This window comes from Homo sapiens, chromosome 3 (assembly GCF_000001405.40).
Source record: "Homo sapiens chromosome 3, GRCh38.p14 Primary Assembly".
Lineage (NCBI taxonomy): Eukaryota > Metazoa > Chordata > Mammalia > Primates > Hominidae > Homo > Homo sapiens.
In genome coordinates, this window is record NC_000003.12 from 6,629,442 (window position 1) to 6,645,136 (window position 15,695).

The 15,695-nt window shown below is 36.0% G+C and overlaps 2 long non-coding RNA genes across 20 annotated transcripts in view, besides 1 other annotated feature; one reads left to right on the plus strand and one right to left on the minus strand.

The window, feature by feature from the left end:
- LOC105376944 (uncharacterized) overlaps positions 1-15,695 on the plus strand; it is a 246,298-nt gene that overhangs the window by 139,000 nt on the left and 91,603 nt on the right. The gene's annotated exons all lie outside the window — the stretch shown is intronic.
- Positions 2,917-15,695, minus strand: part of GRM7-AS3 (GRM7 antisense RNA 3) — a 173,092-nt gene continuing 160,313 nt past the window's right edge. Inside the window, exons 3-4 of the long non-coding RNA NR_110123.1 lie at positions 5,646-5,756; positions 2,917-3,138 (exon numbers count right to left, since the gene is read on the minus strand). This is a non-coding gene — a long non-coding RNA (GRM7 antisense RNA 3). The remainder of the gene's footprint in view (positions 3,139-5,645; positions 5,757-15,695) is intronic.
- Positions 15,266-15,355: an enhancer, noted in NCBI's record as "active region_19389". NCBI's record gives its function as "activates an Ori minimal core promoter by ATAC-STARR-seq in GM12878 lymphoblastoid cells {active_cell/tissue: GM12878}" and the evidence as "EXISTENCE:reporter gene assay evidence [ECO:0000049][PMID:35858748]".

Below are 15,695 nucleotides of genomic sequence, written 5' to 3' on the forward strand. Positions count from 1 at the left end.
TTCAAAGGATGTCTCTAAAAATTACATGTTCTTTTATTTTGGTACTATATGTAAGAACTATCTTCTGGGAAAGTGCACCCAGATAAAATCACGTGCTTCTTCTTTAAGGGGGAAAAAATAATGTTTGGTCAATCCCATTTGCTTCCCATGAAAAAAAAGTTAAATAATTGTATGGGGGTTTCTAGAGAGTCTTGACTCCATAACAAGTATTTTATAGAGAAGTTCTCTTAAATCAAAAATTGAACCAGGCAATGTTTAGTTTATGATTCTATTTCAAAAAATTTTGCTACTTTTTTCTTTTACCTATCCTGCAAAGTGAGGGTGTTATAAGTTGACTAAGTAATGTAACACAGATTTTATATTTAAAAGATTTGGGAACAGGGAGTAATAAGAAGTTTTTTCACTCTCTTCTCTCTTAGTTTGAGCGCCAATCTCAGATTTCAGGAAAGTGTGTGGATAGTGAAGAGGAGAGGAGATTAAAGTGTACTTTGTTTCCCTGGAGGTCTCAGAGCTCCTTCGGAAGAAAAGTAGCTTAGATAGCCTAATATTTTGAGACAAATAACATGGAAGGCAACTGACGTAAGGTTTATTGTAAAATAAACTCCTTGATATTAATGTCAAAATAGGATAGATGTCTGGTCTACGATATTTGCAATTTAGTATGTTCTTATGCCTTTTGGAAAGAAAGGCTGAATTGTATCTTGCCTGGTTTCCAGCAAATGGCCATAGGTCAATTATTGCTCACCTGAATTACAAATTTTTTGAGGTAATTCTTTTTCATTGATGTTATTTAGGGCATAAGTGGTTAGTTTGACAATTAGAACAAAAATATACTTAAAGAGGGTTTTTTAATTAAAAAAAAAAGATTGAGACTCTATAACCTAAATATAGAAAATACTTAATGAATATATCCAAAAGTAATTTTAATCTTCACAGCGGTGAAATGGCCCAGGGTTAATTGTAGGTTTTTCAGCTAGACAAAGAGTTATATCCAAAGAGTACTGAAGAAATTGCTTAATATCAGCTTTTCCTTTAAGATTGGTGTAGGCTTAATGAATTTAAATTAGCATATAAGACAGAGACAAAAAAATTAAATAATAATTTTCAATAATAATAAATAAAAATTAAATAATAATAATACATCATCTTAAAATATCAACTGAATTGACAGAAACTATATCCTTTTTAATAATTTTCCAAATGACAACTTCAGGAGATGTTGGAATAAGACAATGTATGACAGGCACAACTCTTCCAGAATAACTTCAATCTGTTATTGATTGATCAACAGAGACCTGTGTTGATCAAACCCAGACTTTTCAGTTTTTGTAACCTAACAGTTTACTAATTTTTCAAAGAGAAGGAAGTAGAAAGGCTCTTGTACCAATATTTATGAGATTTTTAAGAATTTCCCCTCCAACTGAACTGATACTGATATTGAAAGCAAATTTACGCATTTTAGAAGTTTTTTGTTTTGTTTTGTTTCTGAGCTAGGGCCTCACTATGTTTCCCAGGTTAGTCTGGGAACCCCTGGGCTCAAGTGATCCTCCTGCATTGCCTCAGCCTCCCAAGTAGCTGGGATTACAGGCACACCATCATGCCCAGCTCATGTTTTTTATCTTATTTTTTCATCTTTAAAGAGAAGACACAGTAGAATTTCACAATTATCTGAAGAAAAAAAATCAGTATAATTTTTGGCATCATTTTCAAATTTGACTTTAAAAAACTGGTTAGTAACATTATGAAATAAATTCTTCTCTAGATTTTTTGAAAAATATTATATTATTAACTGCTAGGACTCAAAACATTATACCCCAATATATGGTGTCTTGGCATGCAGAGTACTTTGAACTGAAGGGCACTGGAAGGGCCTCAGAAGGAAGGCCCCTCTGACCTTCTCTCACTCTCCTTTCTCCAGCTCTCCTCTCTCCCAAGGCGGCCCATAGAAATTAGAATTCTTTGACCTCACAGCAAGCCGTAAAACCTAAAAGGGTCACTCTGACCTATTTTACCAGAAAATAGATCAGAAGACCCTTTTCTGGCAGTTGTTCTTCCTTATATGGGGGGAAGGTATGCTACACAGCAAGGTCGAGAAGAATCTGAAGAGACAGGCTTTGCTAAATTCTCTACAGTTTATTATCATTAGGTCATACTCTTTTTGTCGAATCACGTTTCTCCACAACTATTCACTTCTTTCTTCAGAAGCATACAAATTCAAAATTTTCCCTGGGTTTGGGTCTGCATTTCTGAAGGCTCCCACGTCACTTAAAACTTTATTAAATGAACACATTATGCATTTTTCTTGTTCATCTGGTTTTTGTTATAGGTATGTCAGCTGTGACCCTTGTAATGGGTGAGAAAAAGACATTATGTTTTGCCACTACATAATAAGCAAACTAAAAATTATTGGCTGGATTTTATTGCTATAATTCCGTAAATGGACAAATGGATATCCGCTAACCATGGTTTTCTACTCAGATTTGGGAAAACTTATCTCTTCTAGTTTCCACTATTGTGATAGGAGCAATTAATATTTAGATACTCTTTTACTGGTGGTGTAATATTGCAGGATAGATAGTATGTGGGGAAAGTAAAGTTCAAATATATTTATATGCTATACATAAAGCATGCTTTCATTGTGTATTCATATGTATTTATAAATAATAACTAATAATAGTAAATAATAATAGGGAATTGATGGTTTGAAAAGAATGTGATAACCTTGGAGCAATCTCCAAGTAATTTTTTCATAAATAATATCACCTGAAATATGAGGAATGCTTTGTGTTAAAACCTGAAGCTCTGTGAATGTTTATTGATGATGACAGCATTTCTTATAATTTAGTAATTTGCTTTGTAAATGATGTACTTTAAAGTATTCTATGAACCAAAAATATCAGCTGTGTATTATATCACTATTTTTTAAAGGCTTTCCACTTGTTTTCCTTTGGGTTCTCATTTTTCCAGGGACAGAAACTATGACAAATTATCCAATTCCATAAAACCAAAGCTAGTCCACCATTCTCTATTCAATCGAAGACACAATTCATCTATAAAGTGTTCTCATTGTATGTTTCATGTGGAGAAAGAAACGAATGTCATAAACGTGCTGCAGTTATTTTCCATTTCTTCTTGTTTCTGCAGTAATAAAAGAAGAAAGAGAGTTAAACATGTATTTACTTGTCAAACTGGACAAAATTCTTCAAAAAGAAAAATTATGTACTACCTTAACCACTTTAGCAATTTGAGCTAAGAGGAAAAAAAATTAAAAAAAGGATGGATTTCTTATTAGCTACTTTATTTTTTATTCAGTGGGTAACACTTTTTTCCCCCTAGACATTTGCCTGTCTCAAAATTAAGGAGTTATTTTAAAACCACTTCACTGTGTTTTTTGAAACCTAGGTGACTATTCTGTACTTAAAATATACAAATACTGTATATGGTTGGAGGTATTGAAATGATGAGTATATTCTAAGTGCTTTCTAGTAAGTTGATGTTAAACCTTTAAGATGCCTTTACAATGAACATGTAAATGGATAATTCACTCGATAAGCCAGAAAAAGAAAAGAATTATCTTTTGTTACATTTAGAAGGCATAACATGTTCATTTAAAACAAAATCTATTAATCACACATTATTTGGAGAATAATGTACTGATTTTGTTTTTGTTTTTGTTTTTGTTTTTTGAGATGGAGGCTCGCTCTGCTGCCCAGGCTGGAGTGCAGTGGCACGATCTCGGCTCACTGCAACCTCCGCCTCCCGGGTTCAAGCAATTCTCCTGCTTCAGCCTCCCAAGTAGCTGGCATTACAGGTGCATGCCATCATGCTCAGTCAATTTTTTGTATTTTTAGTAGAGGTGGGTTTTCACCATGTTGGCCAGGCTGGTCTCGAACTCCAGACCTCAGATGATCTGCCTGCCTCGGCCTCCCAAAGTGCTGGGATTACAGGCATGAGCCACCATGCGTGGCCTATGTACTGATTTTATAGGCAGAACAAAGAACAGGCACATTGTCTCCCTTTTAAGTATTTCCTTTTATGATGTGCAGAATAATTACATGAAAAGTAAAAATAAAATTTGGACATGGGGTACAATATCTTTCATAGCTAGCAATAGTGATGAGACTTTACAAAAAAGGATTCTTCCACTTTAACGAGGCTCCTTGTGCATATAGGAAGATATCCTTTTCTATACAGAACTTGCATTTTGAGGTATTTTAGCATTCTATAGAATGTGGGTTACTGTTGTTATTAAATGTCTGGCTTTATTAACGAGATCATTTATTACTCCTTGCCTGTGCCACCTGCAAACACAGCTGTAACTAGGTTCAGTATTGTTCTGATTAATTTTTCTTGACTATTTTCCTTTTCTTCTTTCTTTTTCCTGTTTAAATATGGAACGTGTGGAGTCATAGTTGTGGGAGTATCTGAATTCTAAATCAACATTTTCCAAAACATCATTTCCAAATTGACTTCAAAGTTGAATTGGCCATTGGCTGTTGTTTCGTTTTGTTTTGTTTTCTTGTGAATGTAGAATTTTAAATGCTAAACATCACGTGCCAGTTTTCTTCTTTGAGGCCAAAAAAAGCAAATCACTAAAATTTTCACAACAATAATGTCAATCTTCTATGTCAGGAGTAGGGACACTACGGTCTGTGAGCCAAATCAAGATCGTCAAGATCACAGCCTACTTCTGTTTTGATAATCTGTGATGCAGCAATATTTTTTACATTTTTATAGGGTTTTTTAGAAAAAAAAAAGAAAAGAGAATATGTAATGGAGACCTTATGGCCCACAGAGCCTTAAATACTCACTATCTGACTCCCTTAGAAAAGTCTGGTAGACACCTGCTGTCCTATGAAAGTATTTATACACACAAGCATACTAAGTGTTCCTCTTGTAACTCTAATTTCCAGCTCTTACATTTTTGCCTTGGGCTTGCAATCTCTTAGCTCTCTCTTGTTTTCTAGCCCTCCCTTTTGAGTTCTTATAAATAATCACATTCTTCTACAGTATAAATTAAGAGGTCTCTAAAATGACATGTGGCATGGGCACAAGAGAGGAGCATGTTGGTTCTTGTGTATGTAATCAAGTGAATTTAAATGAGATTAATACCTGCCCTTCATTTTTCACTTTTCTATATTTGTTGACATAATGATCTTTGTGATTTATTTCATTCACTCTAACCTATGAATATTAATAAACTCTGTGTACAGTAAATAAGATACAGCTCCTGCCCTCATGTGTTTACAGTTTGATGAAGAAGACAGAAAGTTAAGTAGGCATTACAATACACTCTCATAACTACTACATACTACTATATAACTATGTAGGTCAGAGTAGGGAAACAAAATCAAACAGTATTATGGAAGGCATTTAGAAGAATTGCATTTTGCATTCAGCTAGCTATTAACATGCACATTTCTAGCTTCATGGAGCTTTACATAGAAGCATTGCAATTAGTATCCCAATATTTTCAAGAAAAATTAAATAACTTTCTAGCACTTGTAGCCTGTTACTGCTTAGAAAAAGAAAAAGAAAAAAAAAGATGGTGGCAGACTATGTATTTTCGTGACAGCAAATTTTTAGACCTTTTGAGAAATCCCTTTAACTAGAAAGCAATTGCTCCATTTTAAAGTAAAACTCACTGGCAATGTCATTTTGAACTTCAAAGCAATGTCAGTTTTCATCTCTTAGGGAGCAAATGGTCAGTCATGCAGGTCTTGTCAGCAGTAACAAGACATTTCAAACTGGGGACCCTGGAAACCAAAAAGTGGAATTTTTTTTTTTTTCAATAGGTACAACTTCATTAACTTGAAAATTAAAGGTAAACATTTGATTTCAGTTTGCTTACTCTAGCTGTCCAATTCAGTAGCCATTAGCCACATAGAATCTCTCAATGTAAATAAATTTAAATTAAATTAAATTTAAAACTCAATTTCTTAATCACGGGAGCCATATTTCAAATGCTCAGTAGCTGCATGTGGCTAGTGGCTACTATATTGAACAATGAAGATAAAGGAAATTTCCAACATCACAGAAAGTTCTATTAGAAAGCACTGACTGTTCCATTGATCACAGTAAAGTCACATCTATTAAGTTCCCCAAATAGCAGTTGTTTGTCATATACCATTCGGACAACTTCTTTTTGTAATTGCACTTCAAAGAACAAATTTTTGAACTTCAGTTATTGCTTTAGCTAGATATAAACTCTTCCAAAGTTTTCTTCTTCAAATAAGGTCTACACCTTGAAAAGCCCTTGTAACCGTATTTACTTTTCATTATGTATTCAGATTTTAAAGGTCTTTAAGGAAGCTAAAATAAGTATAGAAAGGTGCATGTAGTTCAATAAATAATCTCAAAATGAACATTCTCATGTAACCCTCACCAAAGTCAATAAATAGAACATCACTTATTATAATTTTACTTACTGAGTAATTTTTAAAGAGATTTTTAGGTTCTTACCATTTTGTGTAATTAAATTAAAAGTTTTGTAGAGTAAATTTGGGTTATTCATGAAATACCCAATTTATAAATTATCAATTTTCATTTTTCTTATTTTTCTCTGTCACTATGCTAATAATTTTAGCCTCTTTTGTTAATTATAGTAACTCACTCCTTCCCCTGTCCATAGTTTGGTCATGTGGATAGAGTCAAGGAGGAAATAGTCAAAGGCCAAATAATCAAAACTGAAGTAATCATATGCTGTCATTTGGTGGTTTCACTGTCACTATTTATTGGCATCCAATATGCTGAAAATCTGAACCACACATCTGCTAAATGATACGGTCATCCATGTATTTTCTTTATTTCAATACTATATCTTTGCTATTTAAGAATGCAAAATTTGATCAATATAACTTTCAATTGTGTCATAGTAAAATACATAATAGTTATACTGTGTGTGATATTTAAAAAGTGCATTTCATAGAGTTGACACCTATGATTTAAAGTTTAAAATATCTCTGTCCACTTACTCAATTAAGTAAGTATTCTACAGTTATAGTTTTGGACTTAGCAAGTCCTCACTTAACAAGGTATTAAAGATATACTACATAGATGACCTAGTGCAAATTCATTTAGCTTTTTCATGCATCGGTTACGTGTTTTGTTTTGTGCCTTAGGAATGCCAAGCTTTTATGTACCTTGGGAAAATGAAATAATGAATATCTTTTTTTTTTTCTTTTTATAGGAAAAGCAGAATACTTTTATTTCCTAAGAAATCATATCTAAAATAAAATTTTACTCAGTTAGTTTGAGGAGTAGGCCATCTTAACTATTAAGTGCTTCAAAGCAATGGTAGTTTAATAATTTCAACTGAAAATTAATTCCAACTAATTTCCATAGGCATTCATCACAGTTTTACTTATTGCAGACAAAGGAGCCTTCATTGAGGATTAATGGACTCTCAAGATGAGCTCTGAGATATTTGAACTCTCTAAAATTATATGCAAAGCTGTGGATGTGTATATATTGGAAATGCCCATACCTTTAGATTAATGTAGATTAATCTAATTAGTGTTTGGATTTATCCTTTCTGTTCTATCCCTGCTGCCACCACCCTAATTTAGATTCTCCATGTCTTTTACATGAACTGGTCTATTGGATCATGGCTTGGCCCACTAAAGGCTATCTCTTATAAAGCCATTCTCTCCAGCAGCTGTTGAAAATAAAAGGTGTAGGCAGGGCGCGGTGGCTCACGCCTGTAATCCCAGCACTTTGGGAGGCTGAGGCGGGCAGATCACGAGGTCAGGAAATCGAGACCATCCTGGCTAACACAGTGAAACACTGTCTCTACTAAAAACACAAAAAATTAGCTGGGTGCGGTGGTGGACACCTGTAGTCCCAGCTACTCGGGAGGCTGAGGCAGGAGAATGGCGTGAACCCGGGAGGCAGAGCTTGCAGTGAGCCAAGATAGCGCCACTGCACTCTGGCCTGGGCGAAAGAGCAAGACTCTGTCTCAAAAAAAAAAAATTTTTTTTGTCATTTCTCTCCAGTGATTCAAGTCTGAATTTTTTCACAGGTGAACACGTTTCTCTGTTGTCTACTCCAGCTGGCCAAACTCATGTCTTGCCACTCTTCACTTTAAACTCAGAGTGTTTTTGTCTTTGGAATATTCTTTCTTATCCCTTTTTAGATAACTATTCATACTCTGTAATTTCACTAAGACATTCTCTTCTTGCCTCCAAAAATTCTTCACAGGCTGGATAGTTGTGTTAATATTTTGTTTGCCTCTCTGACACCTGGGCACATAACTATCACTATAATTACCACAGCATGTGTGTAGCTTTAATGTGTGTGTGTGTGTGTGTGTGTGTGAGAGAGAGAGAGAGAGAGAGACAGAGAGATTTCACTTGACAGTGAACTTCTTGAGAGTAAGACCTATGTTACTGATTTTTCTATCACTAGTATCAAGCACAAGGTCTGAGACACCAAAGGTGCTCAATAAATACATGGCAAGTGAATAAATAAATGACTGAAGGAAGTATTTTTATATCTGCTCATTTATTTAAAAGAATTCATTTCAATTCAAACTTGTTTTCACATACATACACATTAAAGACCTGATAGTTCTATTAACATAATTCAATTACCTTATTAACTTACTTGACACACTTTTTCGTGGTGAGAATATGAAAATCATACAAACCTATCAGACTGGACTTGGTTATATCAGCGTTTGAAGAGATCAGAAAGATCATCCTTTTACAACTGAGGAATTGGAGGATTAAATTCAGTGGGTAGGCAGGAAGAAACACGGCATGGCACCACCCAGGCTTAGTAGTTCTGTATTCCTTGGGCAAAGCTGTTTTACATCTTTAATTCTCACTTTTTACATTTTTAAGGTGAAACAACAATAACCAATTCATTTACAGAAAACTACTTTCACCATTTTGTTTTTTTTTTTTTTCTAACCAAACATTCTCCAGTACATTTTTCTGATGTTTGAGGGAGGAAATGGGGAAGAAAACAGAAGAAGGGCCGAAGGAAAGAAGGGAGAAAATGAGAATGTGGATTACAAAAATTTCTAGGACCTTGGTACTTATTTGAAGACGCAAAAGACCCTGGATAGGCAAAGCAGGCTTGCGCAGAATGACCAAAGCTGCAGGCATTACAGTACTGGACATCAAAATATTCCACAAAGTAAACAGGACAGCATGTCACGTGGCACAAAAACAGACACCCGGACCCGTGGAACAGGATATAGAGTTCAGAAATAAATTCATGCATGCACAGCTAACCGATTTTTTATAAAGATGCCAAGAACACGCATTGGGAACAGGACAGTCTCTTTAACAAATAGCGCTGGAAAAATTGGATATCCACGTGCAAACTAATGAAACTAGATCCCTACCTACCACCATATACAAAAATAAATTCTAAATGAATTAAAGACCTACGTGAAAGACCTGACACTATGAAATTAGAAGAAAACATAAGGGAAGCACTTCATGAAATTGAACTGGGCAAGGATTTTTTTTAGTAAGACCTCAAAACACAGGCAACAAAAAGCAAAAATTAGAAACTAGATTACATCAAACTAACAAGATTCTGCACAGCAAAAGAAACAATCAACGGAATGGAGACAGAACCTACAAAATGGATGAAAGTATTTTCAAAAGTATGCAATGACAAGGGGTTAAAATCCAGACTATATAAGAAACTCAAACAAATGAGTACCAAAAATAATAATAATTTGATTAAAAACGGGCAAAAGACCAAAATAGGCAAGTAACAAAACCAGACACAAATAGCCAACAGATATATTTTAAAATGCAAAACATCGCTAATCATCAGGGAAATGCAAATAAAACCAGAGAAGATATTACTCCACGCTTGTTAGAATGGTTATTATCAAAAAGACAAAAAAAATAACAAATGCTGGCAAGGATGTGGAGAAAAGGGAACTCTTATGCACTGTTGGTGGGAATGTAAATTAGTACAGCCATTATAGAAAACAATATGAAGTTTTTTGGTTTTTGGTTTTTTTTGAGACGGAGTCTCACTCTGTCGCCCAGGCTGGAGTGCAGTGGCGCTATCTGGGCTCACTGCAAGCTCAGCCTCCCGGGTTCACGCCATTCTCCTGCCTCAGCCTCTGGAGTAGCTGGGACTACAGGCACCCGCCACCACTCCTGGCTAACTTCTTTGTATTTTTAGCAGAGACAGGGTTTCACCGTGTTAGTCAGGAGGGTCTCGATCTCCTGACCTCGTGATCCACCCGCCTCGGCCTCCCAAAGATTTTAAGAAAAATAGAACTGTCATATGATCCAGCAATCTCAGTACTGGGTATATATTCAAAGGAAATGAAATCAATATGTCAAAGAGATATCTGCACTTCATATTTATTGCACACTATTTACAATATCCAAAATATGGATTAAAGTAAATGCCCATCTACAGATGAATGGATAAAGAAAATGCAATATATATACATAGAGAGAGATATAGATATAGATATATCAGACACACACACACACAATAGAATGCTACTCAGCCATAAAACAGAATGTGATCTCTCTCTCTCTCTCTCTCTCTCACACACACACACACACACAGACACACACACACACACTGGAATGCTATTCAGGCATAAAACAGAATGAAATTCTATAATTTGCAACAACATGGATACACCTGGAGAACACTACATTAAGTGACATAAGCCAGGCATAGAAAGACAAATACTGCGTGATCTCAGTCACATGTAGAATCCAAAAAAGTTTATTTCATAGAAATAGAGAGTAGAACAGTGGTTACCAGAGGCTGAGGTGAGTACATGGGAGGGAGGACCTGAAGAGGTTGGTCAACTGTACAAAATTAGGGTTGGATAGAAAGAATAAGTGCTGATGTTTAATTACAGAGTAGGGTGACTATAGCAAATAGCAATGTAATGTATATTTCAAGATAGCTAGAAGAGAAGATTTTTAATGTTATCACCACAAAGAAAGGATGAATGTTTAAAGTGATGGATTTAATGACTATCCTGATTTGGTCATTATACAATGTATACATTCCCTGAAACATCACACTACAGCCCAGAAACATGTACAGTAATTATGCGCCAATTATAAATAAAACATAAATTTTTAAAAAGCTAAGAAAATACTACAAAAATTTGCCAAAATCATATAATATTATATTTATAGTTTTCTAGTCCCTGATTTTCACTTTTTAAGTGTGACATTTAGTTATTGCATGGTATTCCTTCACATAGATGCACCATATTTATTTGATAGCTTTTCCATTTTTGTTCAGCAAAGAAGTTTCTGCTTTCACACAACTACATGTCATGTGGCCTTCAGCATGAATCGTTTCCTGTATTGGGAATCATTTCTTAACTACTGATTCCCAGGAATGAAAAGTTTCTGAGACATAGCTCCAAGACTCTGTATCTATTTGTATTGGCTTCAACAATGTATTGACTAAATACCAAAATAGGAACAATTATTGCATTTTAGAATAGACATCTTTAATGACAATGGAAACTATCTTACCCCTCTTTATACACTAGTTGGACCTTCTTCTTATACTCATGGGAGTCTTTGAGAACTTGAGCATATATTGTTTCCCTCCTGAAGGGGGTCCTGTCAGCTGTGGTGGCACTTGTGACATCTGAGAGGGAAACAGCTGTATTTGAAACAATAAAGGTAGTGGCTGAGGCAGATGCTCTTTGGAAATGACTCATCTTCTTTTAGAACTCAAGTTGTCACAAGCAGGTACAGCAGACAAGTTTATGTTTATGTGTAAAGTGATATGTGATTATCTTTCCCATACACTCAAAGCCTTATTTATTTTGACTACATTATACAGATGCTGCTATCCGCAGGGTGTAGAGAATATGCTAAGTAGTATGTCAACCTCAACACCTCAATAGATAGAACTTACTTACTCATCATGTTAACATATTGGGCCACATTTTTCCAGAGTGTGAATTACTCCCGCTCAGGAAATTTCCACCTGAGAAACATCATTAACTCTTTCATGGTACCAGCAATCTGGTTAGCAAATTGCCTCTTTACTGAACTAAAATTCTACATTCAGAAAGGTAAGGAAGTGGTCTGTATTCCTTCTCCCTATTTTTGTATAGGACTATCGCAGTAAAAATGGCTAAGCGTGTGAATTCTAAGGAAGGATTTCTGGATTCAAATCCTTTCTCCACAAAGTATATAACTCCTCTATTTTTCAGTTTCCTCAGAGGTAAATAATACCTACTGCACAGGTTTATTGTGAGAATTAAATAATTGTATGCATATTAAGTACTTAGATATAACTTTAATACTAAATGTAAGCACTCAATATGTGTTAGCAGTTATATTGTTACATGTGCTATTATTGTCACTATTATTTTAATAATCTTCAAGAAAAATTGCACATCCTACTTCCATGTTGTTGAGACCTGAGTGTCCATATAACGCCTGGTACTCTCTGAGACAGTAAATAACTCTAGGAAAATACAGTTAGTGGACTAAAATTAGGGCCGTGTCCATTTAAAAAAATTATAAGTGAGTCGTACGGATAATCACAGTTGACATCATTGTTCTTGTGTCCTTCACTGTGAACTCTTAGGAACATAAAGATTTAGGTCTCCATGTCCTGAGGCAGTAAATTGTTTAAGAAGAAAATAGCTACATTGATAGGTTCTGGTTTGCTTATTGGCATTTGGCTTTGTGGGTCCAACAGCGGCACAAAGATTTCGAAAATCTGTGTTCAAGACCAGCTCTGCCTCTTAGTAGGATGACCTTGGACTGCTCAGTGTCTGTTTTTCAGATCTTTATCCATTTTTGTAGGACTTGGTAGTCTCTGAGATGTCTATGAGAGCTAACATCTTATGATTAAGTCTGCAAGGACATTTTTCTTATGCTTTAGAGAATGAGTTCTCTTCAGTTCCTCAAGTAGACAAACCATTATGGTATAATAAATTGTCAGTAAAGTTATTCTGATTATACTTGCCATTGGAGAAAGAATCCAGTGATGTGTTTCAGGTAGGGTATAGATTGTCTGGATAAGACCACACACCTGGCTGAGTTAGATTAAGTTTCTGATATAATAAGCTAATAAACAAAATTATATCAAAAGTGAATTGGTCACACAGAGAATTGGCATCTGCAGCCAATACCAGAATAGCTTTCATTGGTCACCTGTTTCTAAAGGGATTAGTCACTCAGTAGTGCCATTGTCTGTGCAAAGCAGTTCTCTCCAGCTTTGAGAAACTCACTTCTTGGTAGAGTCAAACTCTTTTAAATTTAGTGCGTCCCTTTCTGTGACTTTATAATGTTTGACACTACCTTAGTCAGTTTGGGCTGCCATAACACAATACTAAAGACTGGGTGGCTTTAACAATGCCATTTATTTTTCACAGTTCTGGCAACTGAAAGCCCAAGATCAGGGTGCCAACTTGGTCATGTTCTTGGTAAAGATCCCTTTCCTGTTTACAGAGTGTATCTTCACATGGTAGAGAGAGGGAGAGGAGGCAAGCTTTGTGTGTCTCTCCTTAAAAGGGTACTAATTCCATCCTGAGGGCTCTACCCACATGACCTAATTACCTGCCAGAGACAGTGGGAGTATTATTACATCAGGGGTTAGTTTTTTAACATATGAATGTGGGAGGTGCACGAACACTCAGTCTACTGCAGGTACTTCATGGTTCTTGAAATGAACACAGTGTCAACAGGTCATATTTTCATCCAGGAGGAAAAGGTCAAACTATTGCCCAGATGTAGCTGGTAAACAGTGCTTCCACATTTGTAGTGTCCTGGTATTGCCTGTGTTTACCTTGGGAACCAAGACATGCTGATCTAATGGCAGACCCTTGCGTCTCCCCATTCACCACTGCTTATGAGGAAATGCTAAAAGCTGTTGTATTTTTATCTGTACCTCTTATTCAAGATAAAGCAGTATTTTGGTGGTCCATTGACACGTTGATTACAGTGGAGCCATGTTTGACTCAGAAATTAGGGTTTAAAGTCAGTAGTTATAGTGAAATCCATGTCTAGTAAAATTGCCCTTAGAAATCCGTTAAGCTGGACATAAAGTGCATTGTAAATAGATTTGTGTATGCAATCTTAAGTAGCAAAATAGTATTTAAAAATAGTAGAGTAGGCCAGGCACGGTGGCTCATGCCTGTAATCCCAGCACTTTGGGAGGCCAAGGTGGGCGGATCACCTGAGGTCAGGAGTTCGAGCCAGCCTGGTCAACAAGGTGAAACCCCATCTCCACTAAAAATACAAAATTAGCTGGGTGTAGTGGCGCATGCCTGTGATCCCAGCTACTTGGGAGGCTGACACAGGAGAATCGCTTGAACCTGGGAGGTGGAAGTTGCAGTGAGCAGAGATTATGCCATTGCACTCCAGTATGGGCAACAAGAGTGAAACTCTGTCTCAAAAAAATAAAAATAAAAATAAAAAAAATTAAGATACTACAGTAGAACCCTCATATTCTTGGAGGGATACATTCCGAGACCCCCAATGGATGCCTGAAACCATACATTTTACCAGACTCTATATATACTGTACCATGTTTTTTTCCCATGCATGCATACCTATGATGAATTTCCAAATTAGGCACAGTGAGAGATGAACAACAACAATAATAAAGTAGAAAAATTAGGACAATCTACTGTAATACAAGTTATGTGAATGTGGTCTCTCTCTGTTTCTCTCTTTCTCAAAATATCTTAATATTTTTGAACTGCAATTGACCACAGGTAACTGACACCATGAAAAAGCAAAACCACAATAAGAATGGACTACCGTATTTCTAAACTAGACTTAACACACTGCAAGACGCTCACACTGACAGAGGCTCCCAGAAACATACCCACTGTAGGCACAGCTAATTCATGTCCCCCTGTTCACTGTTCATGACCCTTCGGGTTATATTCATTTCAGGAAAGGGAAGAGAGAGTCACTCAAGACACTAATATTGTTTCTCTTCTTCTCTTTTTGATTCCCCAGATGTCTATATTTGGAATATTGTAAGCTAAATGCACAGTGATGTGACTCCTGTATAGCTAAGGTTAGCAATATATCCATTGAGGGAAGAGATGAACTAAGAGTTTTGAATGATAGGCTGCTGCAGGGAATCAGTTTAAGTTACCTTTTGACGAGTCAAAGAACATTTATTAAATATCCATGTTATGGATTGAATGTTTGTGTCTCTCCCCACCATTCATATGGTGGAGCCCTAAACCCTAATGTCATGCGACTTAGAGGTTAGGCCTGTAGGGAATAATTAGGTTTAGATGAGGTCATGAGAGAGGTGTCTTCATAATGAGACTTGTGTCCTTATTAGAAGAGGAGGAGCTTGCTTTTTCTCTCCATGAGCACACCCTAGAAAGGTCATGTGAGGACACAGCCACAGCCAGAGGTGGCCATCTGCAAGCCAGGAAGCAGACACTCACCAGACACTCAAGCTGCTGCCACCTTCATCTTGGACTTCAAAGCTTCCAGAACTGTGAGAAATAAATGTCTGTTGTTTAAGCTGCCCATAGTATTTTGTTATAGCAGCCTGAGCTGACTAAAATAACCTACTATCTCTTTGATCTAGATTTTTTAATCCAGGAAAAAAATACCTTGCCTGTCTGCATGCAAATGTAAATGGGATGCATAGTAGAGATGGCATTAGAAATCAGTGAATAAAACATAGACGGGCAAATAAATAACCTGGAGGCCTTTTGCTATGCGTCTAGAACATATAAA